At 37.7% G+C, this 26678-nt stretch overlaps 1 protein-coding gene across 3 annotated transcripts in view, besides 5 other annotated features; it reads left to right on the top strand.

Annotated features, from left to right (window-relative positions):
- PPP3CA (protein phosphatase 3 catalytic subunit alpha) overlaps window positions 1–11444 on the top strand; it is a 324109-nt gene extending 312665 nt beyond the window's left edge. For 2 of the 3 annotated variants that reach the window (NM_001130692.2, NM_001130691.2), the window contains 2 exons: window positions 2498–2595; window positions 8801–11444. In NM_001130692.2, the coding sequence (NP_001124164.1) occupies window positions 2498–2595; window positions 8801–8997 (295 nt within the window). In that variant the 3' untranslated portion in view covers window positions 8998–11444. Of the gene's footprint in view, window positions 1–2497; window positions 2596–5666; window positions 5697–8800 lie in introns of all 3 variants that reach the window. The other variant, NM_000944.5, reaches the window with a different exon arrangement.
- Window positions 2596–2890: a silencer, noted in NCBI's record as "tiled region #8198; K562 Repressive non-DNase unmatched - State 24:Quies". NCBI's record gives its function as "represses a minimal TATA promoter and a strong SV40 promoter by Sharpr-MPRA in K562 cells {active_cell/tissue: K562}" and the evidence as "EXISTENCE:reporter gene assay evidence [ECO:0000049][PMID:27701403]".
- Window positions 2596–3136: a biological region, named in NCBI's record as "Sharpr-MPRA regulatory region 8198".
- Window positions 2602–3136: an enhancer, noted in NCBI's record as "OCT4-NANOG-H3K27ac hESC enhancer chr4:101952883-101953417 (GRCh37/hg19 assembly coordinates)". NCBI's record gives its function as "activates a minimal SCP1, AML or CMV promoter by ChIP-STARR-seq in naive and primed H9 embryonic stem cells {active_cell/tissue: H9 hESC(naive and primed)}" and the evidence as "EXISTENCE:reporter gene assay evidence [ECO:0000049][PMID:30033119]".
- Window positions 20297–20346: an enhancer, noted in NCBI's record as "active region_21747". NCBI's record gives its function as "activates an Ori minimal core promoter by ATAC-STARR-seq in GM12878 lymphoblastoid cells {active_cell/tissue: GM12878}" and the evidence as "EXISTENCE:reporter gene assay evidence [ECO:0000049][PMID:35858748]".
- Window positions 25027–25076: a silencer, noted in NCBI's record as "silent region_15589". NCBI's record gives its function as "represses an Ori minimal core promoter by ATAC-STARR-seq in GM12878 lymphoblastoid cells {active_cell/tissue: GM12878}" and the evidence as "EXISTENCE:reporter gene assay evidence [ECO:0000049][PMID:35858748]".

The following is a 26678-nucleotide window of genomic DNA, read 5'->3' as shown; positions in this document are numbered from 1 at the left end:
AGGTACTCCCAATTTTCCCAACTCATATTATCATTCAATGTATTTCTTCATGGGACCTCTAGTGGTTTGACAGACCACAGAAGCTTAAAAAGTTTGAAATACATGCATGAAAATAAACAATAATTAATTATCTCAAACCTATTATTTTTAAGTAAACTTTGCAGTAGAGGATACAGAAATCTAAAATATGGATTAACATTTCCATTCTCCATTCAACTTTTACTGTTTTATTTTTGGCAAATATTTTTGAAATGTGAGCTATGTACCAGGTACTGTTCTAGTCTGGGTGCTGTGGATGCAGCAGTGATTAAAGCAGACAATAACCCCTGCTCTCATGAGGCTTGTCTAGCTGGGGGAGGGGGTGGGGGCATGGCAGGAGGGGAATGGAGTGGACAGGAGACCAGAAATAAGCAAGTAAACACACTGTATCGTTTTTCAAGGGTGATAAGTGCCTTAGATAAAAATAAAATAGGCAAAGGGAGAAAGAGTAGAGAAAGGGATTATTATTATTTTAAATGGCATTCCTAAGGAAGTTCTTGCTTAGAAGGCGATATTGGAGCAAAGATTAGAAGGCAGAGTGGGAGTGAGCCACACAGATGCCAGGGCAGGAGGATGACAAAGAAAGTGCAGCGCCCCTCAGTGGAGTGTGCTGGGTATGTCTAAGGAAAGTGGACATTGGTAGGAAATGTTGACCAAGAGATGGGTGCGAACAGGAGAGTGTGGGGTAGCTGTTTATTTTAAGGCCTTTGTGAAACCTCCCTTTCACCCATCAGGAGAGGAGAAGCCATTAGAGAGTTCTGAATACACAAGTGACAGGATTTGGCATAGGTATGAAAAGCCTCACCCTGGCTGCCATACTGAGAACAGCTGTGGGAGGAGGGGGCAAGAGTGTGACTCGGATGGAGCAGAGAGACCATTCGGAAGGCTCCTGCAATCCAGGTAGGTGATGCTGGTGGTGAGCAAAAGAAGGAAGTCACAGAAGGCTGTATTTTGTATTATTTTATTTATATGAAATGTCCAAGAGAAACAAATCTACAGAAAGTGACTAGAAGTGATACAGGGCTGAAGGAAATAGGGAGTGACTGCTTAATGGGTATGAAGTTTCTTTTGGGGGTAATGAGAATGTTCTAAAATTGATTATGGTGATGGTTGTACAACTCTGTGAATATATTCAAGACCATTGATTGAATCCTAACACTTTAGGTTAATTCTGTGCCAAGTTTATATCTCAAAAAAGCTGTTATCAAAAGAGATGCAGTAGTAGCCTTGTGAGAATGGTTAAACTAGAAATATTTTGAGAGTAGAGCCCTCAATTTTTGCTGATATAATGGATATAGAATTAGGATGAAAAGAGTTAAAGAGTGATCCCTTACTCTTAAGTAACTAAAAGATGGAACTGCTAATTTCTGAGTTGAAGACAGATTGTGGAAGCAGCAGGTTATGGGGAGAAGTTCAGGAATTCTGTTTGAGTCACGTGAGACACCTTCGTAAAAATTTGGAGTAGATAATTCTACATACTAAACTCTCTCCCTGTGTGTGTGTGTGTGTGTGTGTGTGTGTGTGTGTGTTTGTGTGTGTGTGTGTGTCTCTATGTATGTATATATACACGCAAATATATGTATGTTTGTGTATATGTGTATATATACAATTTGTATTTTAAAGACTTTTTTCTGGTTATGTAGGATTGCAATATTGCTATGTGGAAAGAGTGAGTGGTTATTTAGTCATGGTTATTTAATTATGAGGATTTAACAATTCAAAATGATTAATAGTGTCAAGTAATTAATAAATATAATTAAAATAATGATGTACTTAAAACTGATTGATTGTAAAACAATTGTCATGCTGAGTAAGAAAATAATTTTATATTAGCAAATCAGTGGGGAAAGTGACTGAAAAAAAAAATCTGGGAAATTTTACCAGTAGGTTTATTGGCTGCTTGCCATTATTTTATGTGTTTTTCATGTAACATCTAAATTACTAAATGCCTTAATTTCTCAAAGTCCACTGAATGTAATTCCTGATTCCCTAATCCACAAATCAGATTTTTTTTCAATCTCCATATGCTCTGTTTTTTTATTCCGTCAAATCAAATCACTTCCCCTTATTTTTGCTGAGCCTTGGCTGAAAAACTTAACATCAGCATTCTCTATGGCTCACTTTTAACATACAGAATGCACAACAAACACTTTGTATTGAGATGCCTGATTACAAAATCAAAATGGTTTTCTTTATCTATCTAGCTTCGATACTCAAAAGAAACAGAACCTCCCTAATTGGATAATGTAAACTTTATGGTAGCAATCGTTTATGGAACATTACTGGTATATAAATAAATTAAAATAAAGTATGTTAAAAAAAATTTTAAAAAAAGATCCGGAGAGCCAAGATAGAGGGAAATGTGGGTGCTTATATGCATTTTTTTTCCTTTCAGTCATTTCTTTCTTTTTCACAAAAGAAATTAAAAGTTAATGTCGCCCCTCATTGTGCCTTCCAGAGAAGAGAGTGAGAGTGTGCTGACGCTGAAAGGCTTGACCCCAACTGGCATGCTCCCCAGCGGAGTACTTTCTGGAGGGAAGCAAACCCTGCAAAGCGGTAAGCAGGCTGATGGGTATGACTGTGTGCTGGGGCATCGCAGTCAGCTGTGTCATTAGAGCCCTGATTTATTCATTCATTTAAGCTCTGTCTTGGTCTTCGGTTCTTCTTCTCAGCTGGCAGAAGGGCTGAAACCCCAATCAGTTTGATCAGTCATGTCCAACATAATAGCTCCCTCATTCTCTGGAATGTGGTCTTTACTCCACCTTTCCCCCATTCCCTCATTCACATGTTAATCTACATATTCAGCCTAGCTACAGGACAACTCATTTAGGTTGCCTACATGCACAATAGGTTTGACTACTTTGAGCCACTCCGTTGTCAAAAACAACTTTTTAATCACATTTTTAATAAGTATTCTGGTTATGTTTCATTTATGAGATAACACATACACACATAACCACTAAAATATACCTGTATGTCTAGATTTTCAGGAGATGATTTCATTATCCTCTTGAATGGAAATTGGAAGCCATTTGTGTCTTTTCTCTGATTTATCAATTGAAAACAAGAGACTGAATAGAACCACATTTTATTTTTGAAAAAAGAGTAACATTTCCTTTATAATACAGATTTTGTGTTAAAATGTGTAGCTTTCTAGACCTTAGACCTGTGCCGTCCAGCAGAGCTCTTTGTGATGGTGGAAATTTCTGTATCTATACAGAAGCCGCATATGACTGTTGAGCATATAGGGAATATAACCAAGAAACTAAACGTTTTCTTTTATCTAATTTATATTAAATTTAATTAAAATAAGCCAGGAGGCTAGTGGCTACCATGTTAGCAGCACAGTCCTATATATTCTTTCACTTTTGTTACATTTGTTATCAATTTTAACTACTATTATTATTACATACAATACAATTTTAACAATAGGAGATTGCTATTAGATGAGGCTTTAACAGAAAAAAATTAAAATGAAAATATGCTATAACATTTTTCAAAACATTCTCGGCCTCTTGCTTATTTTCCTGTATCTTTCTTTGAATCTTTTTTGTATTTTCTTTTCTGTCCCTGCCCTTCAACCTAGAAGACTCACTATTCTCATTTATATTATTCAATAAACTTCTACATGAAGAGTAATGATCAACTTCATGAATATAGTATTGCTGAATGATCACATCATGGCTGCATCACATTAATTGTCTTTATTTTCAGATGAATATATTCCGAATCAGTGTCTTTTGAGTTTTTACAAAAAGACAAAAATTTTTAAATGAAGGTAGGAAGATACATAGTATTGAGAAGTAAACGTCCCCTTTAAATTTACAGCTAGGAATTATTTTAACAACTTTAAAAAAAAAACACACACAAAAGTTTTTCTACCAAATTAAATATCTTACTAAAACATTAGCATAAATGGATCATTTACATGTCCAAAATGTACCATCTACCTAACTGACTGAAATCTAGTTTCTGATAAGCACATTTTAAGGCACAGCAAGTGTATTATCAGAAACTGTGGGCTTTAGAACACATTTAATAGTGTTCATTTAACATTCGCTTTAGAACATTTAATAGTGGGCAGTACATAGTTCTAATATGTCAGTGCTGGTGTGATTCTGGATGTTTTGCTTTACTTTTAAACTTACGTTACTTAAGTTTTTCCAGTTCTTTGTTTCATTTCCAGATTTTCACTTGTGTTTTTACTTAGGTTATTTGGTTTTATTTTATTTTAAATCCATTGGTTTGTGTTTTTCTATGGTTCAACCTACACACAAACACACATACACATAAAAGACATATGGGTTGGAACCTTTCTATATGGGTTTGAAAACTTACTATATATTTTAAACCACATACATTGATACGACTCCAAAATGTATTGCCTGATGCCCTTCAATTTGTCTAAAAGGGTAGACTACTTACAACTTTGCTATGTACTCTCTCTCTCCATGGTGATAACCATTCTCCATTTTTATCATAAGGAATCTCGAATCCACCGTAAGTAAGTTATAGTGCACATTTTGCAGTTGCTGTAGTTTTAAAATCTTGAATTATAAGAAAAATGCAAATTAAAGTCAAGGGGTAGAATTTTAATATTAAACATTTTGGAGTTACAGAGAAGTTTTGCATTTTAAGATTTCATTAGGGAAGTATAAACTAATCTTAATAACATAGAAAGACTCATATACTTATATAGTGGAAGTTTAGACCCTAACCTTATTACAAAAATTGCTGATAAAGCAGTGGGCTTTTCAAGTTCTGCCTCTGAAATATGCTGTTTCTGTATATTCAGTATTTAGGCTGCCTATTCTTTAAAATGCTGATAGAATTATTGCCACTACTGGCACGTTACCACTTGATTTGTAACATTTTAAGAATTTTACTTCCAAAAAGGATATTCCACTAAGGAAAAGAAAACATAATTGGGCTTGCTGGAAAACGAAGTCCAGATTATATCATTCGTTTCCTTTTTTCCTTTTCCTTCACCCTCTTCCTACCCACCGACCCCCAGATCTAGTAATGCCTGATGTGTTTATCTTTAAAGAGTCACATCCATTATCTCCTTAGACACCCTGACTTTTATTTTTCCTTTAAATTTGAATCTCCCTGTTTTTCCATCACATCAGGAAATAGTGCTGTTTAATATTAAATAGTGTGAATGATCCCACTGATATTGTGGCACTGCTTCAAATTCTGCCATTTTGTCTGGCATTTTAAAACTAAATCACCAAGCATAGCAGAGGTTATATAGTATTCTGTGTGAGTCAGAAGCACAGTTGAGATTTACATAATCTCTTATAATTCAGTCCATGTAAAAGAAATTTTCCTAAGTGTTTTCCTAAAGGGTTGTTTGTTATTTATTTAGTGGGCAAAAACCAAAACATTTAATTCAGATAGGCGTACCCAGCTCATAAATTAAATTTATAATTTCTGTGGCATTTTTTTTCTTTTTTTTTTTTTTTTTTTTTTTTTAGCATTTCTGTTTTGTTGTCTGTGCCAGAATCTAGCACTTACAGGAACATTAGTTCTCTTAGCTCCTTTGATGGTCACTGATTTGTTCTTAGAGTTAAAAAATCCTCTGCTCATTTTTCTCATTCATTTTGCACCCCCTTTCTTCTCTTCAGCTACTGTTGAGGCTATTGAGGCTGATGAAGGTAAATTGGCCAGTCCCCTTTCTGTTGTACCTGCAACAGATAAGGGCTCTGCTGGGTGTATTCATTTTTTTGCTGTAGCTTGTACAGAGTGTGTGGGTGTTGAGCTAACAGTTGTGGCTCAGTATTAACCAAAATGTTCTTGCTTTAAAGGGGAAAATGTCCTTCTATGGTTTGTTTGTTTGTTTCTTTCCCTTAAAGCTATGTTTGACTTTTGTATATGATGAATACTATAATCACAGAAAACAAAAGGATTATATATTTTGAATGATGTGGGGTGGGGGTTATGGCAGCTGTTTTGACCAGTAGCTTATAAAACAATAATCTTTGAGCTGAACCATGTCCCTCCCTCAAATCACTTTCAGGCAGCACTGAAGAGAATAAAAATAGCCATCTTAATTCTAGTCTTCAGAAGTTTGTAGCCAAAGGAAAAAAATGTTCATTTAAATAGTGCTTTGTTGTAGTTCAACATTAATTTGTATCTCTAAAAAATATTCCAACATGAGACAGCTGTATATAAGATGAACAGTTCTGGTAATCTTAAATCAAATTGTAACCTACTGGTATTTGTATGAGAATTAACACCAGCAAAATATTATAAAAAGTTCAAAAGCATCTAGTGGCTGTGGAAGTGGCCGATAACAAGAATAGCGAGTATCAAGTAGCACTCAATTGATGAATGTGTACTGAGTGTCTGCTTTGTGCCAGGCACTGTACTAGGAGCTGCAGGGGACATCAAGAAGTGTCCATCTCCAGCTGTGTTCTAGCACTGCTCAAGGACAGTAGAGTCGAACCTTTAGTATTTGCTTTTTACTTGACTGTTGTTTAAATATATAGTTATAAGAGAACTGCATATCAAAATAGTTTTTAATATTTATTATACATACCATATCCTTTGGAAATTTCAAAAATAATAATTTGAAGTTCCCCTTTAAAACAAAATTCTTCAGTTGTATTTTGTTCTTGCAAGGTAACTTTTTTGTTTTTCTCAAAATTATGTGCATATGGTCCTTTGGTGTGATACAAAAAGTGCCACTTTAGACTCTTCCAATTTGTACATGATTTGGATATGGTAGGGGAAACAATAGCACTGTAAGAGAAAATACAACTGCTTCCTAAATAGCAGTGAATAAACTGCTATTTATGTGGGAATTCTCTATTCCTCTTGGCAAATTCTAATCTGCAGTGTGCATTCTTGTTGATAGTTTGGCTGTTTTCTGTGGTTTCTGTGACTCTGTGTTGTGTTAAGTATACTACCAATGTAAATTGCTAATACCCATTGTCTGACCAGCAACTACAGCAGAGCACATTCTTCCATACCAGGATGACAAAAATGATTAGAAATGGAGCCCCATTCCAGAAGTATCCATTGTTCTAGCTACATTTTTAACACTCCCACCCTATTGGCTTTTAAAACCTAGAAATTTCACTTTTACCATTTAAATTAATTAAATCATTTCATAAATGATAATGATGACAAACTTTTATACCTGTTAATTATGATGAAATTATATTCACAGTAGTCTAAAAAAGACAGTAGAGTACCACTTCATGCTATTCTTTTGTATTTCAAAATAATTGAGTTAGTTTTCAGGGTGGGTGCTCATTAGACAGCTCTATTATTTTGCAATTTATTACTAAATTAGAGAAGAATTAACAAGCTTTGCTTTGGGCCTTGGTCTTTCCCCATTTTCGCATCTTATTCCTCTCACAGTTGACTAATCACCATTATGCTAACCTTTAAAATGCAGAGGGGGGAAAAACTATTTCTCATCTTTTAATGAGTATTGAAACAACTGTGTATATCTTTTAGGAATCTCATCCATACTAATAAAAGGCACTGCACATTTGTGTAGGAGTGGCTGGTAAAGTTTCAGCTTGAAACTGCTTTCCTTTTTTTTTTTTTCCCCCCCAAATAAGGTTGGGAGGATAAAGGTACCATGAAATTATCCTTAATCAGCCATGGTGATGCAGCCCAATTGAGCATTGGTGATTGGCCCTGAAATATCTGGCTTGCACTTCACAGGGAGTAAAGCAAACTGATGTCATTGGTTCCCCATTTATGTGTTTTATTTGCAGCTCACCAGTTGGTGTACTCACTGAAGAAATCATTAAGTTTTTTGTACAAATGCCTTACCTATCGCTGTAGCACACCAAAGATTACTTTTTAAAAAAATCAAATATCATTCCCACTTTGAGAATTCCATGTTTTAATTGAATAGGACCAAAACCAGTTCAATGCATTTTTGCTAAATATTGTGAAAGGCATTTTTTTCCTTGTTATTATTTAACCATCACTTACATCTACATTGATCTACTGAGTTTTTCTTTCATTTAGGCAGTAATGGATACCAGATGAACATCAGTTTGACCTGTTCACTGCTGAAGGGCAGACGATACATTTCTACCTAGTGACCTTATCTTGATTTTTTTTTTTAGTTTCTCTTACCTTGTCACTCACTCCACATGCTTCCAAAGTTAAGTGGAGACAGGAGTTTATAATTTCTTTTTTTTTCATGTCATCATTGAGTTGCTTGTCAAGAAGTTCTTTCTGGGATTCTGAGATGGCATGGAAATGCCCCGGTTAATTCCTTTTCTAGCTCCTTTTAGCTCCTGCTTTAAGCCCTTTGCTAGGTTTTTAGGTATAGCAAACATACTGATTCCACTGAATTTGCCATTACCTAGTACAATGGAGGAATACAAAGAGGGACATGCTGCAGCCTGTCTAGGTTAAGGTGTTTGATGCTTATGATGTGGCCAGTTGATGCTGGTTCTAGAGGCTTGTCCCTGAAAGCAGCTTTCCTCTTTATGTGTCCACTTTGGATTTCTTTGAGCTAAACTTTCATGAAGACAGGAGAAATGCTTACATCTTAATAACTTCAAGAGGACATTTTGGTTGGCAAGAGACATTGGCTGTTTTCAAACCTTTGGTTACTTCCGAGTATGGTAAGGAGTCTGTTGTGTGGTGTGCAGGTCCCGTCACTTTGTTCTTCACTGAAGGATTCCCTCTCACTGAGAAATCTCTAACATCACCTGCTGCAACAGCTGTGCCCTTTGTTTTCCTTTGGATAATCCTGGTTTTCTTTTTTTAATGATTTTCTGTTTAGCTATCAAAGGATTTTCACCACAACATAAGATCACTAGCTTCGAGGAAGCCAAGGGCTTAGACCGAATTAATGAGAGGATGCCGCCTCGCAGAGATGCCATGCCCTCTGACGCCAACCTTAACTCCATCAACAAGGCTCTCACCTCAGAGACTAACGGCACGGACAGCAATGGCAGTAATAGCAGCAATATTCAGTGACCACTTCCTGTTCACTTTTTTTTTTTTTTTTTTTTTTTTTTTTTGAGCTGCGGGGCATGATGGGGATTGCTGCATATCAGCAGTTGGATGTTCTTGCCTCTGACAGTAGCTTATTTGCTCTGGGGGCCAGGAATTGGATTCAGTTTACACTATCATTAAAAAAGAGGGAGAGAGATAATAAACTATATTTTGGTGGGGATGGTGATTAAACACCTCTTTTGGGTATGCCTTTTAAAAATGCTTATAGAGAAAAAAAATTTTAAAAAGAAAGCTAATGCTAGTATATACTGCAATGTTAGGGGAATGAACATGTTTTCCTACTGCATTGGGGACTTCTAGATAGGTTAATGAAAGGCCTTTTATTCTGTTACTGGACATGAAAACTTTGTCTAATTTCTTACTCTATTGTACGTTTACAGTCGCAGCACTAAAAATGGATGACATCAAACATTTTTAACAAAATGATGTACAAACTAAGGACTATTTATTGATAATGTTTTGCTACTCTTGTCAGACAATGGCTATAAACTGAATTAGGCAGTCTTAAAAAAAAAAAAAAACAGAAAAAGAAAAAAAAGAACGTTGCAAATTTGTTAAAATGCCAAAAAGGACAGTTTAATTTTGTACAGATTATGCTTACCTCAGGTTTCTTTAGTGTGCTTGAATGCCCTTCTTTCCATATAACACTTATCTTCTTCTTAATTCGGCAATGGAATATCTTTTAAGTTTTAAAAAAACTGGAATAATTATATCTATCTTTTTTGCCGTTTATATTTAGGGGTTTTTGTTGATAAAATCAAGTCTTGGTTGTGGCTTGCTGAATTAAATATTTATGAGTGGTGCATTTTTAAGTATAGTGAACAAGACACCATATTAAGTACAGTGATAAAGCATCTATATTCTGTAAAAAAAAAAAAAATCTGCCTATGCATGTTTTTTAAGAAAAAAAAAATGGCTGTATCGGCCTGTATGGGACTGTAATGCGCTTAGTGGTCTGACATATACTGGAAATGTATGTATACTGGCGTACTTTATATTCTCTAAAATGCTTAATGCCTTTGAAATTTTGTAATCAAAAAAAAGCTTTGAAAAAATCTAAAGGGGAGAGTATTCTTTAAAGTTTTTAACATAAGCTTGTCAATGCACATGTAGATGGTTAGCATGTTTAGCAAACCTTGTGAAATTATAATAAGTTTGTAGTTACATGTGAAACTCTAAATGCATGGCAACTGTTAATGTCATAACAGTTTAGTTATTTTGTTCTGTTCTGTCATGTGCCACAAAATATGTACTTTTTTCACTTTTTTCCCTTTGTATATCAGTTACGGGTTACAACTGGTTCATTCTGAAAACAACAACAACAAAAGTCCATTCATATTTTTTAACAATTGTATAAGTGCCCAAGTAATTCACTACAGCCTAAAGCCTTGCCTTTGTAATTTGACTTCTGACATGTTGGCAATCAAAGCATGCACTTGTAACAATGAAAAAGAAAAAGCATTTTATATTACTACTCAATAAAATGTGCATGAACTTACAGAATTCTCATCCTTCCACTGAGTCCGCTGAAGGGATTTATGTGCACAACCACCATGTGTCTTCTAGGTGCTGGCCCACCACCACACATCACAGGCTGATTTCCACAGGCTTCTTCCTAGGGGCCTCGTGATCTGAGGGGTGGTGCCTACTTCCACTGTAAGAAAGAATCTTGGTGGATTTGTGTCTCAAATCAGATAAGAGAAGCCTGTTTAAAGAGCAGATGCCATCTTCTGGCTTCCTCAAGGAGCCAGTTAAAAAACCAGAGCATTCCTTTTTATTGAAAAATAAAATTAATTTGTTATCAGGTTGTTTCAGTTGTATTGGATGCCCTATCTATCTGCTAAAGCAAAAAGTACTAGGCTACTAAGTGCATTTTCATCACAGAAAAGAGTTGCATTTGTATTAACAAGAAATTTGTATACCCACGCTTCAGCTACTATCTAATCATCACCCGAAGATTTAAGATACACCAAATTTCAGTTTGTTTGTAACATTGTTCATCTTTAGTGCACTTTGTTTTATATAATAAAGTATGCCTGTTATATTAAATAATAAGAATATGGCAATTAGCGATATAGCATACCCAAACAAAGATGTTCTCGATACAGTCTGGCAAAGACTATCCCAAGGTTATTTTAATGAATTCAGACATTTTTTCCTGTGGATATTTCTCCATCCTAAAAAAAGTGGCAACCAAGGAAAATATTTAGATGCAACTTACTAGAGTGATGATGTGAAAGAAATGGTGATTCTGGTATCATGGTGTTTATTTTCTTTCTTATAACTGCAGAGAAAATATCCTGACTAAAAAAAATTCATTTTTTTGGATTCCTTTCTTTTACAAATTGTGCTGAGGCAACTATGGCATAGAAATAAACATTTGACATTAAAATAAGCAGTTGATGTGAGTATTGCTTGGTCTTTCTGATGAGTGGTTAGGAAAGTAATACTGTGTATTTTTCCATAATAGTTTGGTCTCTCAAAAAAAGTTGATAGAGAACTAGTTATTTCTTCAAAAGGGATAACCTTTCTAGACCATCAGTTATTAGGTTTCTCTCCTTCACTTTTGGAGAAACTATAGAAATCTTTAGTTGCTCATGCCAGTGTACCTCTGGTTACACACACAGACACAGACATACACACAGAAACAACCTCCTGTCCCCCGACCTCCTGCACCCAGTCCCCACGGTGACTTCACTCTCATGGGATTCAAACTCAGTGCTGAATTTTCAACTGTTTTCAAGAACGAAGAGCTAGATTTGACGGACCCTGCATCAGCTGTTTTTCCTGTCTAAAATATCCTCTACTTCTGTTCTCCGTAAATGGTATTTGAGAAAAAGAAAAATCTTCAGAAACCAAACTTGTGTGATGAGATGAACGAACTGGAGGGGAAGAGAAACATCTCTGCCCATCTACAGTGTATGACTTAGGATGACATCAAAGCTGGAAGTATCTCGTGGCATCAGCCCAGAACGTGGTGTCATGGTGAGGCTGAAACCCTCAGAATGGCCTTATCCTGAAACACTTCTTCCCTCTCACCCTCGCCACATCCCATGTGAAATAAATTTTAATACACATCTATTTTTCTACTCAGAAACCAGGGCCCCCAACATGAAGTCAGCCCCGTAGGAGGCACCATGGCAATGGTCTGTCTTAAATGTCTCACACTTTCACCTTACTACTTCATGTCTCTCACTCACTGGATCCCTCTTGTCACACTCCATTTAGAAAAGGGGACCTTTCAGTTTGCCCCACCAGTTTCTTCAAAACTGAAAGCCCCTTGGGTTGAACAAATTTGAGATCTCCGCAACTGAAGAGATGTCCTTTTCCCTTGTTATGTGGCTTTTTATTTTATTCATTGCTCAAACACCAGGTCTCTGCCATGTTCCTTTCACTGTTCTAGGTTCTTATTTTTTCCACATAAACACACAAAATGCCTGCCAATCTTAACAACATACCAGTTTTTATTATAATGTTAAATGTCAGCATTCCATTGTACAGTGAGTCACTGTCAGGCTTAACACTGAACTGCTCTTTTCGTTTCATGGATATTCCTTCTTTATATATTTTAAGGTAATATTAGCCAGAAAAGCCCCTGACCAGGCCCTTTCAGGACAAATGTCTTTTTTAAAAAATGCATACATAGAAATGGGAGGCAGAAAGTAGTGAAAGAATTGTTGCACCTATGTCTGGCGATGGAATTTTGAAAAGGCAACATTGTCAAATCGGAATGCATGTGGGAGAATGGAGACCCAGCAGGAGAGAGTGTCTGTTTTAAGGAAGGACTGAAGAAACTTAAAAGGTGAGCAGCAGAAGTCATGATAGCTATAATACCAAGTTGGTTATCCCAAAAGACGTTCTTTAAATCAGAAAGATGCCTAATTACCATAGGATAGATGCTTAAGGAATGACTCTGCTTAACCAGAGAGTAAGCTGCAGGAGAGTGCAAGTGCCTCCCCTTTGCTGCAAGTGTTAAAACCTGGGCAAACTTTATTCAGTGCCTAGACACCTCCTGAGTGATGCTGCCTGGAAGGAGTTATACTGGATGTAGTTGAAGAAACTCTCTTCAAAGATAGACATTGAACTAGGTGATATCTAAATTACCCTTCAATCGTAAGATTCTAAATATCCATGCAATTATTCAGTCTTCCGAAAACACAGAACTTTGATTTGCAAACTGTTGGCTAGAAGCTTGTATTTCCAGGAATACTGACATGGGACTGAGCTTTCTGCATCAACCAAAGCAGCTCTTTTATGTTTTTTGCTGTGTATCAGCTGAAAAGAGTCTCCACTAGATTATCAAAGTTTTAATTGACTATAGAATATTAGCTTAGAACAAAGTTGACTTAAACTTCTCCCCTAAGGCATTTTTGTCATGTTATATTTTCAAATCTTTTTATACCAATTGCTGGAAACATTTAGGCTTCTCAACAACTCCAGGTTGTCTGCAGGACTGTCCTGCAGAGAGTCTTACAAGGTGGCATGTAAGTGTATTCACGATCTGATTCCTGCCAATCTCATCTACCCCAAACTTGACCCTGAGCTTCGGCCATAGTGGACTTCTCACAATGTTCGGAAGACACCAGGCTTCCTCAATTCTCTGGGTCTGTATTCATGCATCTTCTATGTGCAGATTTCAGATGTGTCTTAAATACTGGAATGAGTCATTTCCTCCTCTCTAAGCACACAGTATCCTGTACTACCTCCGTTTTGACACTTAATCCACTGCATGTAATTGTTTATTGTCTGTCTGGCACTGCAGTGAGCATTGTTGCTATCTTTGCATTCTTAGGATGAAACACTGCCTGGCATAGTGTTTCTTGGAAGAAGGGGAGGTAGGGAAGGAGAAATAAAATATTTTTTGGCATGACCTTATGGTGTGGGCACTCCCAGATTCCAAATGGCAAACCATTATTGAAGAGCAGCTGAAACACTTACCCCAGTTCAATGTTACCTGTTCTTTCTCGTAAGAATTTCCTGGTCCCCAAAGGTCTGGAGTGGAGCCTACATTTTAATAAGCATCCACCAAAATTCTTGTGGATCAGACAAGTTTGAGAAACCTAGTCCAATTTATTTCTAAAGCTAACTTAAATTTCAGTTCTATATTTTTATTTCTACAGATTTTCTAGCACAGGCAAATATTTTACTGCTTAACACGGCTGTTACACAAGATTATGTATGATTAATTTAATTTTCATTTATAGTTGTTTAATGGATATGAATTTACACAAAAATGTGGGAATTATTTAAGTATGTAATACAACATTCACAACTGAAAAGGTTATGAGAAGAAAGCGGTGGTTTTGTTGTTGTTGTTGTTGTTTTAGTGTATTAGACTTCACCCAGAAAAAGGAGATAAGTGGTGGTGGAGTATCTGGAGATTCCTGGTGAAGAATCAATGAAAAAAGTTGCCTGTGCCTTGAAGAGAATGGAATGCTTTCATATTGAAAAGATTGCTTATTTCACACCACCCTACCTTACCATAACAACCACACCCATTATCACCATCAGCTTGCCAGAATTTGCTCACAAAATGCCTTTTGAATATATATTCAACACTGTTTACCTTCCGGAAGTTTTACCATGAGTCATTCCTTTGAGTTCAAAACACCTTCTCTAAAAATCTTTTTTTTTTTTTTTTAAGATACAAATCAGAGAAGGAAACCACCAACCTTTGTCAGCTATTAACATCTTAGTAAAATTTAACTCATATGTTTCTGACAGGGCTAGTCACAGACTAATAAAGATAGCTGTGTTTATAGAGAAGGGAAGGCCACAGCTGGAGAATGTGAGAGTGCTTGGGGAGAGGACTACCACCTGATCAACTGGGTGCATTATTGTGTAGCTATTTCTACTAGGCCTGTGGCAGAGAAAGGAGTACAGTGAAATTCAAGACAAAAATCTAGTCTCTCACAATATGCAGTGGCAGTGAAAATAAATCAATGTGTGTGCCACATGTACTCACTTCTGTATAGGGTTCTTGACACCAGTCCTGGCCTACAGTTAGGCCTGGGTTGGAATTTTTATAGCTCTGATACTTATTAGATGTCTGTGTGAACTTGAGAAACTAAGCTTCTTTAAATCTCATTTTCTCCCTGGTGATATGAAGGCAATGACAGTAATTAGTTCATAAGCTTTTCACGGGTTTCAAAAGGGATGATGCAAATAAAGTAGTAGGCATGGTGCCTGGCAGAAAGTAGGCACTCAGTAAACTTCAGTTATTGTTGTATTCAGCAGCATGCAGAGTCAAATGAGTGCTTCAGATATTCCGTAGGTGAAGATTGTGTATGCGTGTGTGAGCACCTGTGAGTGTGGTGGGCGGCTGAGAAGGTAGGTGTAGTCAGAAAAACCTAGGCAAAGCTGACTTGGTTGGAATCTTCCTACCTAGAGGAAAGCTGGAGAGGCTGCAGAGGGGGCAGGCATAGAGGGGGCTCCAGTGTGAGAGGAAAAAGTGAGAGCAGAGGAAAAGATCCAGAAAAATAGTGATATGTTGACCACTTGGTGAAAGCAAAGGAGGGGTGGGGCACAAAAAGTGATGAGAATGAGAAGCTAAGATGGAGCCAAATCAGTGTTTGTATCAGGAGGTATTTCGGCTGCAAGTAACAAAATACCTAACTGGGTTCAAACCACAGAGACATTTACAATTCCCAGACAAGGACATCTGCGACTTCGAGGACCCAAGGTTAGTTTGGTGGCTCAACAGCATCACTAAGGACTGAGGCTGTTTCTATCCTTCTCACACTATTCTTCTATTGGCTTCCGTCCTTGTGGTTGCAAGGATGGTCACAGCTCCTGGCATCACTTCCTCATGCAACACTGTTTCACTACTGGAAAATACTACCAAAGTAGCCTATAAATAAGACGAAACTGAATTCATTGCTTACCACAGTAATGTAACCACTACCTTGACAGAGGCATAGTAAATCTAGATGGGGAGGACAAAAGAATAATACTTATGATATATTTCTTTCTTTTTCTTTTTCTTTTTTTTTTTTTTTTTTTGAGATGGAGTCTCACTCTGTCTCCCAGGCTGGAGTGCAGTGGCGTGATCTCGGCTCACTGCAACCTCCGCTCCCGGGTTCACACCATTCTCCTGCCTCAGCCTCCCGAGTAGCTGGGACTACAGGCGCCCGCTACCACGCCTGGCTAATTTTTTTTGTATTTTTAGTAGAGATGGGGTTTCACTGTGTTAGCCAGGATGGTCTCGATCTCCTGACCTCGTGATCTGCCCGCCTCGGCCTCCCAAAGTGCTAGGATTACAGGTGTGAGCTACTGCGCCTGGCTACTTATATTTATTTTGGCTAAGGTGAATCTTTCCATGTAAGAGTCTAATAAGGATTGGACAAATTTTATGACTTTGTAATTTTAAAGTGGTAGAAACAACAAGGGGAGAATTACTAAGTGAATTTTGAAGAAATAACAGTAAGTAGGTAAAAATAATAGGTTTTTTTCCTCAAGTTTTTTAAGATATGTATACAATTGAAAACAAAAATTATAAAATTACAAGATGCTGATAAAAAAAATCAAAGAAAACCTACAAAATGGAAAGACACTGAGTTCATTAGAGCTCAGTTGATTGGAAGACTTACTGTAGCTAAGATGTCAATTCTCAAATGAATTGGCTGTCTAGATTTAATGCAATCCCAATCAAAACCCTGGCAAGTTTTCCTTGCAGATATAGACAAACTGATTCTAAAATCTATGTATTGTAGAAAGATTAAAGAACTAGAATAGCCAAAATGTTTTTCAAAGTCCAACAAAGTTGGAAGATTCACATTAGCCAGTTTTAAAATTTACTCCAAATCTATAGTAATAAAAAATGTGGTATTGATGGAAGGATGGAGACATAAATTTGTGGAACACAGCAGAAGGTCCAGAGATAGACTCACAAATGGTCAATCGAGAAATGTACAAAGATATTTCAATGGTGAATAGATAACTTTTCAGCAAATTAGTGGTAGACAATTGGAGATCCATTGGCAGAAAAAAGGAATTTGATCTCTACCTCATACCTTATACAAAAATTAACTCAAAATGGAACATGGATTTACAAAATCTAAAATACTAAGTATAAAATCTTTAGATAAAAGCATAGAACAATATCTTTGTGACCTAGGATTAGGCAAAGAGTTCACATAAATGACACCAAAAGCATAAACCAGAATGGAAAAAAAAAGATAAATTAGACCACATCAAAATTATAATTTTTTCCTTTGTAAAAGGCAGTGTTAAGAAAATGAAAGAACAAACAATTGTCTGAAAGAAAATGTGTTCAAATCACGTCTATCAGACAATTTGTATACAGAATATATACAAATCTCTCCAAGTTTAATAACAAATTTTAAAATGTGCAAAAGATTGAACAAACATACCAGACAACGTATATAGATGACAAGCATATGAAAAGAGGCTCAGTATCATTATTAGTTAGTAGGGAAATGCAAATTAAAGCCACAATGAGATACCACTACACATCTACTTGAGTAGGAAAAAAGAAACCTACACACAAAAAATCTGATAACATCAAGTGTTTAAGAAAATGCAGGGGCCGGGCGCGGTGGCTCACGCCTGTAATCCCAGCACTTTGGGAGGCCCAGGCGGGCGGATCACAATGTCAGAAGATCAAGACCATCCTGGCTAACACGGTGAAACCCCGTCTCTACTGAAAATACAAAAAATTAGCTGGACGTGGTGGCAGGCACCTGTAGTCCCAGCTACTTGGGAGGCTGAGGCAGGAGAATGGCATGAACCCAGGAGGCGGAGCTTGCAGTGAGCTGAGATTGCGCCATTGCACTCCAGCCTGGGCGACAGAGCGAGACTCTGTCTCAAAAAAAAAAAAAAAAAAGAGAGAGAATGCAGAGCAACTACAACTCTTATATATTCCTAGTGGTAATCCAAAAATGATACAGCTACTCTGGAAAACAGTTTCAGATAAAGTTACTATATGACCCAGCAATCCCACTCCTAGATAGTTACCTTACAGAAATAAATACTTATGTTCACACAAAAACTTGTATACAAATATTTAGCTACATCACTCATAATTACCAGTCTGGAAATAACACAAATGTTCTTCAACAGACAAATGGATAAACACACTGTAGTACATCTATCCAATGGAATAGCAGTTAGCAATAACAATACTTTTTATGGGTTGAATTGTGCCCCCCCCCCATAAAAAGATACGTTGAAGTCCCCACCCCCAGTACCTCACAATGTGACCTCATTTAGAAATAGGGCCATTGAAAATGTAATTAGTTAAGAAGAGGTCATACTGTAATAGGGTGGCTTCCTAATTCAATATGACTGGTGTCCATATAAAAGGAGCCATATGAAAATAGACACATACATAGGAAGAATGCCATGTGGCAAAGAAAACAGATTTTAGTTATGTAACTGCCAGTCAAGGAACACAAATGGTTTCTGGCAAACCACCAGAAGCCAGGAAGAATCAAGAAAAGATGTCAAGAGTGAGCACAGCCCAGTTGGCACCTTAATTTCAGACTTGTGGTCACCAGCCTCCTGAGAAAATGAATTTGTGTTGTTTTAAGCCACCCAACCTTTGATAGTTTGTTACAGCAGCCCTAGGAAACTGATACACTAATGCTACATAAAATAACCTAATGCCTCAAAACACATTATGTTAAGTGGAGGAAGTATGAAGAATTGTGAAGTGTCTGAGGCTTTATCTTGCTTCAGAGTTAACAATTTTGCCCACCACAGTGTCATAGATGCTGACAGAAAACAAGAGACTCCTGGGTCAGAGACAACTTAATTACTCACAGCACAGCAGCCAGCATGTGCTTCATGATTCAGTCAGTTCCTCTAGTCCCCAACCCATGGGCACAATGCAGTGGCAGACTCAGATGAACATGAGTTTTTGTCACAGCTGAGGAACTCTACCTTAGAAAACCCACAGCCGGCCAGGCACGGTGGCTCACGCCTGTAATCCCAGCACTTGGGGAGGCCGAGACGGGCGGATCACGAGGTCAGGAGATCGAGACCATCCTGGCTAACATGGTGAAACCTCGTCTCTACTAAAAATACAAAAAATTAGCCGGGCGTGGTGGCCGGCGCCTGTAGTCCCAGCTACTCGAGAGGCTGAGGCAGGAGAATGGCGTGAACCTGGGAGGCAGAGCTTGCAGTGAGCCAAGATCATACCACTGCACTCCAGCCTGGGGGACAGAGCGAGACTCCGTCTCAAAAAAAAAAAAAAAAAAAAGACAACTCATAGCCTTGGCCAGCCAGGCACGGTGGCTCATTCTTGTAATCCCAGCATTTTGAGAGGCTGAAGCCGGTGAAGCACTTGAGGTCAGGAATTTGAGACTGACCTGGCCAACATGGTGATAGCCTGTCTCTACTAAAAATGCAAAAACAATTAGCCAGGTGTGGTGGCAGGTGCCTGAAATCCCAGCTACTCAGGAGACTGAGGCAGGAAAATCGCTTGAAGCTGGGAGGTGGTGGTTGCAGTGAGTTGAGTTGGCACCATTGCACTCTAGCCTGGGCGACAGAGCGAGATTCCACCTCAGAAAAAAAAAAAAAAGGAAAAAGAGAAAGAAACCTCCCCCCGCACCGCCCCAGCCTTATAAAAGGAGCTCCAGCAATTATGCCCAATGTTTGCCTCAAAAGAAGACAGTACCTCTATCTTAACAAACATCCTTGAAACTATCATAGAAAACGGCCTCAAAAGGACAGCCCAGAACAAAAGCTACCACAAGATGTGTGGAAACATGATGAAGAGTTGACCCAAACAGAAGTCACTCTCGAAAGATTACTTAGTATAAGATTCCATTTTCATGACATTCTGGAAAAGGCAAAGCTATTGTGACAGGTTACATGGGCAAATGATTCTCAGGAGTTCTGGTGGGGGTAAAGGTCAAAGAGAAAGGATGAAGGAATTTTGGAGTGTGATGGAACTATTCTTTTACTTGGTTGTGGTGGTGGTTCTATCAATCTATACATGTGTTAAAACTCAGAAATGTACATCGAAACTACCGCTAGTTTTAATGTATATAAATTTAAATGTTAAGAAATTAATAAAAACTAAATACTAATAGATAAAAAATATTTGTTTTAAAAAGAAGACATTGAATCTGAAAGGGTTACACTTACGGTTCTAATCATTCTTTCTTTTTCTAGTTCACTAATAGTTTCTAAAATGCTGCTTTCATTTAAGGGATCAATGGTCACAGACAGCCTGGTATGAATCATTTACACCAGCCTAGGAAAGTTCATGTGTACATGTCCACAGGAAACACACACAATACGTCTTTGAGAATTAGAAGACAAACATTAGTATTTTAATGTCTGATGCTGACATTTGCTCAATTTAAGAGGAATGAGTCTTCAGGGAAAATGGTTCTCCAATTGTACCAAATTCCAATTAATTTCAAGCAACCAGTTATACGATCTATTTCTTTAAAAAATAAAGTTTTAACCTGACCTCCTTGGCTGAATCAGAAGACCAGACTTTTCCTGCCAATATGTAGGCATTTTTCATTTTAAAAATGAAATGGAATGCTACATTATACCTGACCTCTTTTTCCATCACAAACCAGGTCATCTGCGCTGAAACCCTTTTTTCCCCCCTTCAATTTTAATTTATTTTCCAGTGTTCTTTTCTTGTAAAGAACATTTTAACTTTAAACTCTTCTCAGAGTATGTCCTAAGGCATAGCTGATACTTTGGGGAACCAGCATAGAAGGTGGCTAATTAATCTCATAACAAATGTTTTTGACCTCCTATTACCAAAGCTTTTTGCATGGAGTAGATATTATGTGTAAAATGAGCCACTTAGGTCATAAATATAGTAGCTAAAAAAAGGATAGAATGTTGCTGTGTTTAATTTAGCACATAGGTCCAGCTTCTCATCTATGACTTGTTTTACAACTACAACAATTAAAGCAATTTCCTCAGGTTTTTCAGCTCTTAAAAAAAGGTAGTAGAGAAAAATTAATTATACTACTGCACATAGAAAGTCACCTGAAAACACGAAGTTAATTGTTCTTGCTTCCAGATGTTTCTCCTCAAATCTTCTGACACTTTTATTTTCCTTTGGGTTCTGGAGGCCAGTTTCCTTGAGTCATTCCAATCCATCCTCCCCACAGCTGTGCCACATGCAGCCCTGACAGGAAAGAGACATCCGAGAGTCACACTTTCTTTCTTTTTCTTTTTTTTTTTTTTTGAGACAGAATCTCGCTCTGTCACCCAGGCTGGAGTGCAGTGATGCGATCTGGGCTCACTGCAAGCTCTGCCTCCCGGGTTCACACCATTCTCCCACCTCAGCCTCCCAAGTAGCTGGGACTACAGGCGCCCGCCACCATGCCCGGCTCATTTTTTGTATTTTTTTAGTAGAGACGGGGTTTCACAGTGTTAGCCAGGATGGTCTCAATCTCCTGACCTTGTGCCGCCCGCCTCAGTCTCCCAAAGTGCTGGGATTGCACCTGGCAGAGGCACACTTTCTATCTATCACCTGCTTGCAACCTTAAGCTGTCTGGCATAATTTTATTTTCTTTTGTCATTCTAATTTTATTTATAATATCTGTATATTAATTCCTGCATTTTTATTATTCAACACAGCCAAACAATTTTGGCCAAAGCTATTGTGAGTACAATTACAAACAAAATATTTAAGAAGCAGAATTGCTCATATGACCAACTGTGACTAGGCTCCATTTTAATGATGAAAAAGTTTGGTCGCTCAGTTGTCTGAAGACACTCAGAGAAATAATGAAAATGGGATGCCAGGTCTAAGACTTTGCTTTCTAGCTCACTGCTTATTGAGGGAAAGACTGGAGCAAACCATTTTGGCAGTGAAGTGGAATACGTCTTTAGAAATGAAAATTGAAAAAGTGCAAATTCCTAGCAAAAATCTCCAGTCAGAAGCCACAGCTTCTTCTCTTAGGTAAGTATTGTTTAATCCGAACCCTGGAAGAACAAATTACTGCTGTTACCAAACAGAGTTTGAAGCAATCTCCTGGTCTGCCTCTTTAACATTTATCAGGACTTGGCAGCTCTATCCTATTCAAGTACAGCCTTTTGGCCATCACTGTCAGTCTGCTCCACCATCTTCTCTCCACCTTACCTGCATCCTAAATAACAGACTTTCTTTTTGCCTTCTTACAGTTTTTCAATGTTATTCCCTGAAATTACCTTTCTCCAGTTTGCCCAGTGTATTTTAAAAGGGATTTTATGACTCCCATCTTTCCCAGTGAACCATTGCTGCTTCTATTCCAATAGAGATAAACATTACTTTTTTTATTTAGCTACTAAGAGTTTTCAAGTTACACTCCAATCAAATTTTATTTTAGTTGATCTCATGTCATATGAAATCAAGATGGTTGCCAGAGTTGAGTATGCACATTAACATGCAAGCTATTTAAAGAACACCCAGGTTCTTCCTCCAACTAGGTGCTTAATACATATCTGTTGAATGAATGAATGAATCACAACTAGCCTCTACTATCATATGGGAAATATATGATATACTAAACATAATTTACAATTCATTCCTTAGGAACTTGAATTTGGATCTAGCCAGAAGTGAGTGAGGGGGACTACAGTGTAATATATGGAATTTTCTAGCAGATGGGAATCCTCTGTGAAAGAAGGCAATGGTGGGTGTCCAATGGCCTGCTTATCAAACATTAGAAGAAAGAATGAAATGAGACAGAGAAATGCTATACAAAATTAACAGCAGTCTGGGAATTATGGAATGAAATACAGAATCCAGTCAAAAAGAAAGCATAAAAATGGATAACAAGTTCAAAATATAGAGCGTTTACCTGAAGATCAGAATGGCAACTGGTAGCTTATGAGCAGCTGAAAAGCCCAGAACACCAGGGACTTCTACTGTGAAGTGAATGTACAACTAAGAAAACAATTATCAGCTTGTAGAAGTCACCAAAAGGCATCAGCAGCGGGGTAGGAGACACTAGATGGGCTGTTGGACTCTGAAAGATGCCCTTAACTTCTGTTAATGCCCCTCTCACTTCACATATCCCCACCCAAACACACATACACATACACGCAGCAAGAGTCGTCCTAGATGGAAAAGGATACGCTGTACAATGTTTATATCTACAGAGGAATGCTAAATATAGTATTTATATTTTACTGGGCAAAGCAAGTAGTAATCACGCCCCAAGTCACTTGATAGGGTTGGAAAATGATGAACTGAGAAAGAATACTTGAATTAAAGAGGCTGAACTTAAATTACTTCTTGATATTTGGCCCAATTAGGAGGGTCCCCATTATTTCACAGTGGAAGTTACCAAGAAATTTTAACTTTAGAGTTAAAAAAAGCAGACCTGAATCTCTAGCTTGCTGATACTTGAGAAAATAATCTATAGAATTCTCATGATTCTCAGGCCAAACCTGAGCAAAGGAGCACTAGAGACATTTTAAATAAAGGGAATGAGAAACTATAGAGGAAGTAATGCCTTCATCAGACTTTAGGAAGAAACAGGTTAAACAGGAAAAATGATATGGTCTAGGCGTTAACTAGCTTATGGTTATTTACATGTTCAGTTTAAGAATTGCTAATGATCCAGTCAACTAGTTGTTTTAGCAACATTTAGCCCCACAGGACCAGATAGGAAACACACTATTTTATATTCTTAAGGTGTGAAAAAGAGACAGCACAAGCTACATCTCTTTAGATATGTTTATAAATATAAGTGAGATGCCTGTGTAAACATACCAACTGTACTTGCTAAATATTCAGACAGTAGTAAAGATGAGAAGGCAGTTAAGTGTATATTAAGACTTCTTTTTAAATATAGTATCCTTTGAAATGTCTTCTAAATTGTTCAGTTTGAACAACAATTTCCTTAGCTCAGTAAATCTATTCTACTCTCACATTCAACAGTAATTGGGAGAAGCTGCTTAATGAGGAACTACTCTCCCCTTGTCTTTTCTCACTTCCTTTCCCTTCCTCTCTACTCCTATCTCCCAATCTTTTCTTCTCCCCTCCCCTTTTGTTTTCTCCCCTCCTTTCCTCTCTCTTGTCTCTTCTCTCATCCTCCTGTCTCATTTTATACTGACCTTAATTAGGAGCAGAACAAACACACCTTGCAAGGAATGGAAAAGATGCTTTTATTTATTAATTCAGTGAATAACTACAGAGATTTACCAAGTTCCAGGATTGAAGCTACGCACTTTTGATTATGGAGCAAATAAGACAAACATGGTTGCTACCCTTAGAGTGTGTACAGTTTGTAGGAAGACAGATAGCCAAGAGGCAATAACAAAATGCATGCCGTGGTAGGTATGTTGATAGGACAAACCATTAAGGAATCCCAGAATAAGAGAATTTTACCTAGTTCATGCTATTTCTCTAGGCACATGAGAACATAATCTTACTGAATTTCTTGAAAGAGTCTGAGTATGACAGGAACAATTAGATTTTAATGGATTCCATACTGATAATTTGACAAATTTCTCCTGCCTGTTCATTTTTTTTTTGCCTTAACTGTAGTTGTTATGAAATCAAACAAGGTGAATTAAGGATTTTTGAGTGGTATTTATACAATTCTGAAAGAAGTACATGTTATTTTTAAAAATTATGCATAAGAAAGGAATTTTCTGCTATTTCATTTTTCTTTCTTTCTTTTTTTTTTTTTAAGGCCCAGACTTTCTTGCTCAAATCATTATACTGGGCTCTGGGAACAAATGGTGGATAAATTATGCAGAGTCCTTGCTCTTGTAGGCATTTGATAAAGCAAGTAGAGTTAAATGTAGTTACCTTCAGTAAATAAGTTATTAAATATAGCAACAGAGTGAAAGATGTTTTAGTTTCAGTTTTACAGAAGCAGAGGCTGAGACAAAGCTTTGGATGCTTGCAGTTTATCCTAAGAAGCAGGAGTGAGGGAACAGAGAAGGTGAGGTGGAAATCATCATTCATGTGCTTGAAAAGTACAGACTCCCCCTGGAACTGCACCCTTGAAAGAAGAAATGGTAGAATTTATCCATCCACTCCCATTGGTTGAGGGCTGCTCACTGGGGCATAAACTCTTCCAGATTCCTGCACTGTGCCGGCATGTGGACCACAAGAGCTCCTTCTGTGTCTAAGGACCGAGTACAGAATGAAGAAAGATACTCTGCTGGGGCTTGGGGCCTGAAACTAAGATGAGTGTGAGCAAAGGAAACTGTCCACCACAGCTGCACTGAAACAGAAGTGCAGAGGTTGAAGGGATGTTTCAGAGACCAAAGGCATGGACTACAAATGGCATTTTGAGTCTGTTTTTCCTGATGATGAGCAAAAGTTTCCTGATGATGAGCAAAAGCATCAGGATTCAAGTCTCCAAGAGAGAAAAAAAAATAAGCAGACAGAAATCTATTTCTATTCAACTTTCTTATAAAATTGGTCTGAGGATGAGATCCAGTCCCCAAATAATTTATCTTGATTCATTTTATCCAGCTTAGGAAATACCCTGGAGACATCCAAATCAAATATTTTGGTCCTCATGGCTTTCTTTTCTTTCTGCATAAGCCCCGTGGTCCCATGGCCTTATGTTGTTTGAAGAGGAATTGATACTATGATGAAGGAAACAGGCAGGAAGCTATAGACAGAACAAACAGATTGATCCCAATAGGCTTTGCCAAAGGAACATGCAGGAACTATTTTTATATGTAAGAGTTATGCTGTTATTTGTATTTGAATAGTGTGTTCCAACCCATCAGCAGCACAGTACAATGCTGTTTTTCCCTGAATAACGGAGATGGGTTTACTTTTATTATTCTACACCTTACCTTGGATATATTCTGGTCAGTAGCAAGCATTTGTAATTAAATGATATAAATAAGGTTGGTAGTCTGTGCCTCTGGGACCAAGTTTAAAAGTACCTATGTGAGGGCTGGGCATGATGGCTCCTGCCTATAATTCCTACTTTTGGAGGCTGAGGCAGGAGGATTGCTTGAGGTCAGGAGTTTGAGACCAGCCTGGGCTCCACAGCCAGATCCCATCTCTACAAAAAAATTAAAAATAATTAGCCAGGCATATGGCACAGGCCTGCAATCCTAGCTACTCAGGAAGCTGAGGTGGGAGGATCTCTTGAGCCCAGGAGACTTTGAATGATCACACTGTTTCACTCCAGCCTGGTGACAGAGCAAGTGTCTCCAAAAAAAAAAAAAAAAAAAAGTGCAGTGACTCATACCTGTAATCCCAGCACTCTTGGAGGCCGAGGTGGGTGGATCACAAGGTCAGAGAACGAGACCATCCTGACAAACATGGTAAAACCCCATCTCTACTAAAATACAAAACATTAGCCAGGCGTGGTGGTGCACACCTGTAGTCCCAGCTACTCAGGAGGCTGAAGCAGGGGAATTGCTTGAACCCTGGAGGTGGAGGTTGCACTGAGCTGAGATCGCGCCACTGTACTCCAGCCTGGTGACAGAGCAAGACTCTGTCTCAAAAAAAAAAAAAAGAAAGAAAGAAACGAAGTGCCTGTGTGACTAAAATATTTCACAATAATATTTGCCATTTGCTATTTGTGGAAAAGTGTTAAAATTGGTAAAATAAGGTGAAAGCTATTTAGGAGTCTCTTGTATTATTCTTCCAACTTTTTTGTAAGTTTAAGAGTTTTTTTTTTCCAAAATGAAATTTTACCAAACATTGCATGATACATGACTATATAAGACAT

The sequence above is a fragment of the Homo sapiens genome, chromosome 4 (genome assembly GCF_000001405.40).
Source record: "Homo sapiens chromosome 4, GRCh38.p14 Primary Assembly".
Lineage (NCBI taxonomy): Eukaryota > Metazoa > Chordata > Mammalia > Primates > Hominidae > Homo > Homo sapiens.
Note: the sequence above shows the minus strand (reverse complement) of the source record. Positions and strands in the feature narration are given on the sequence as shown.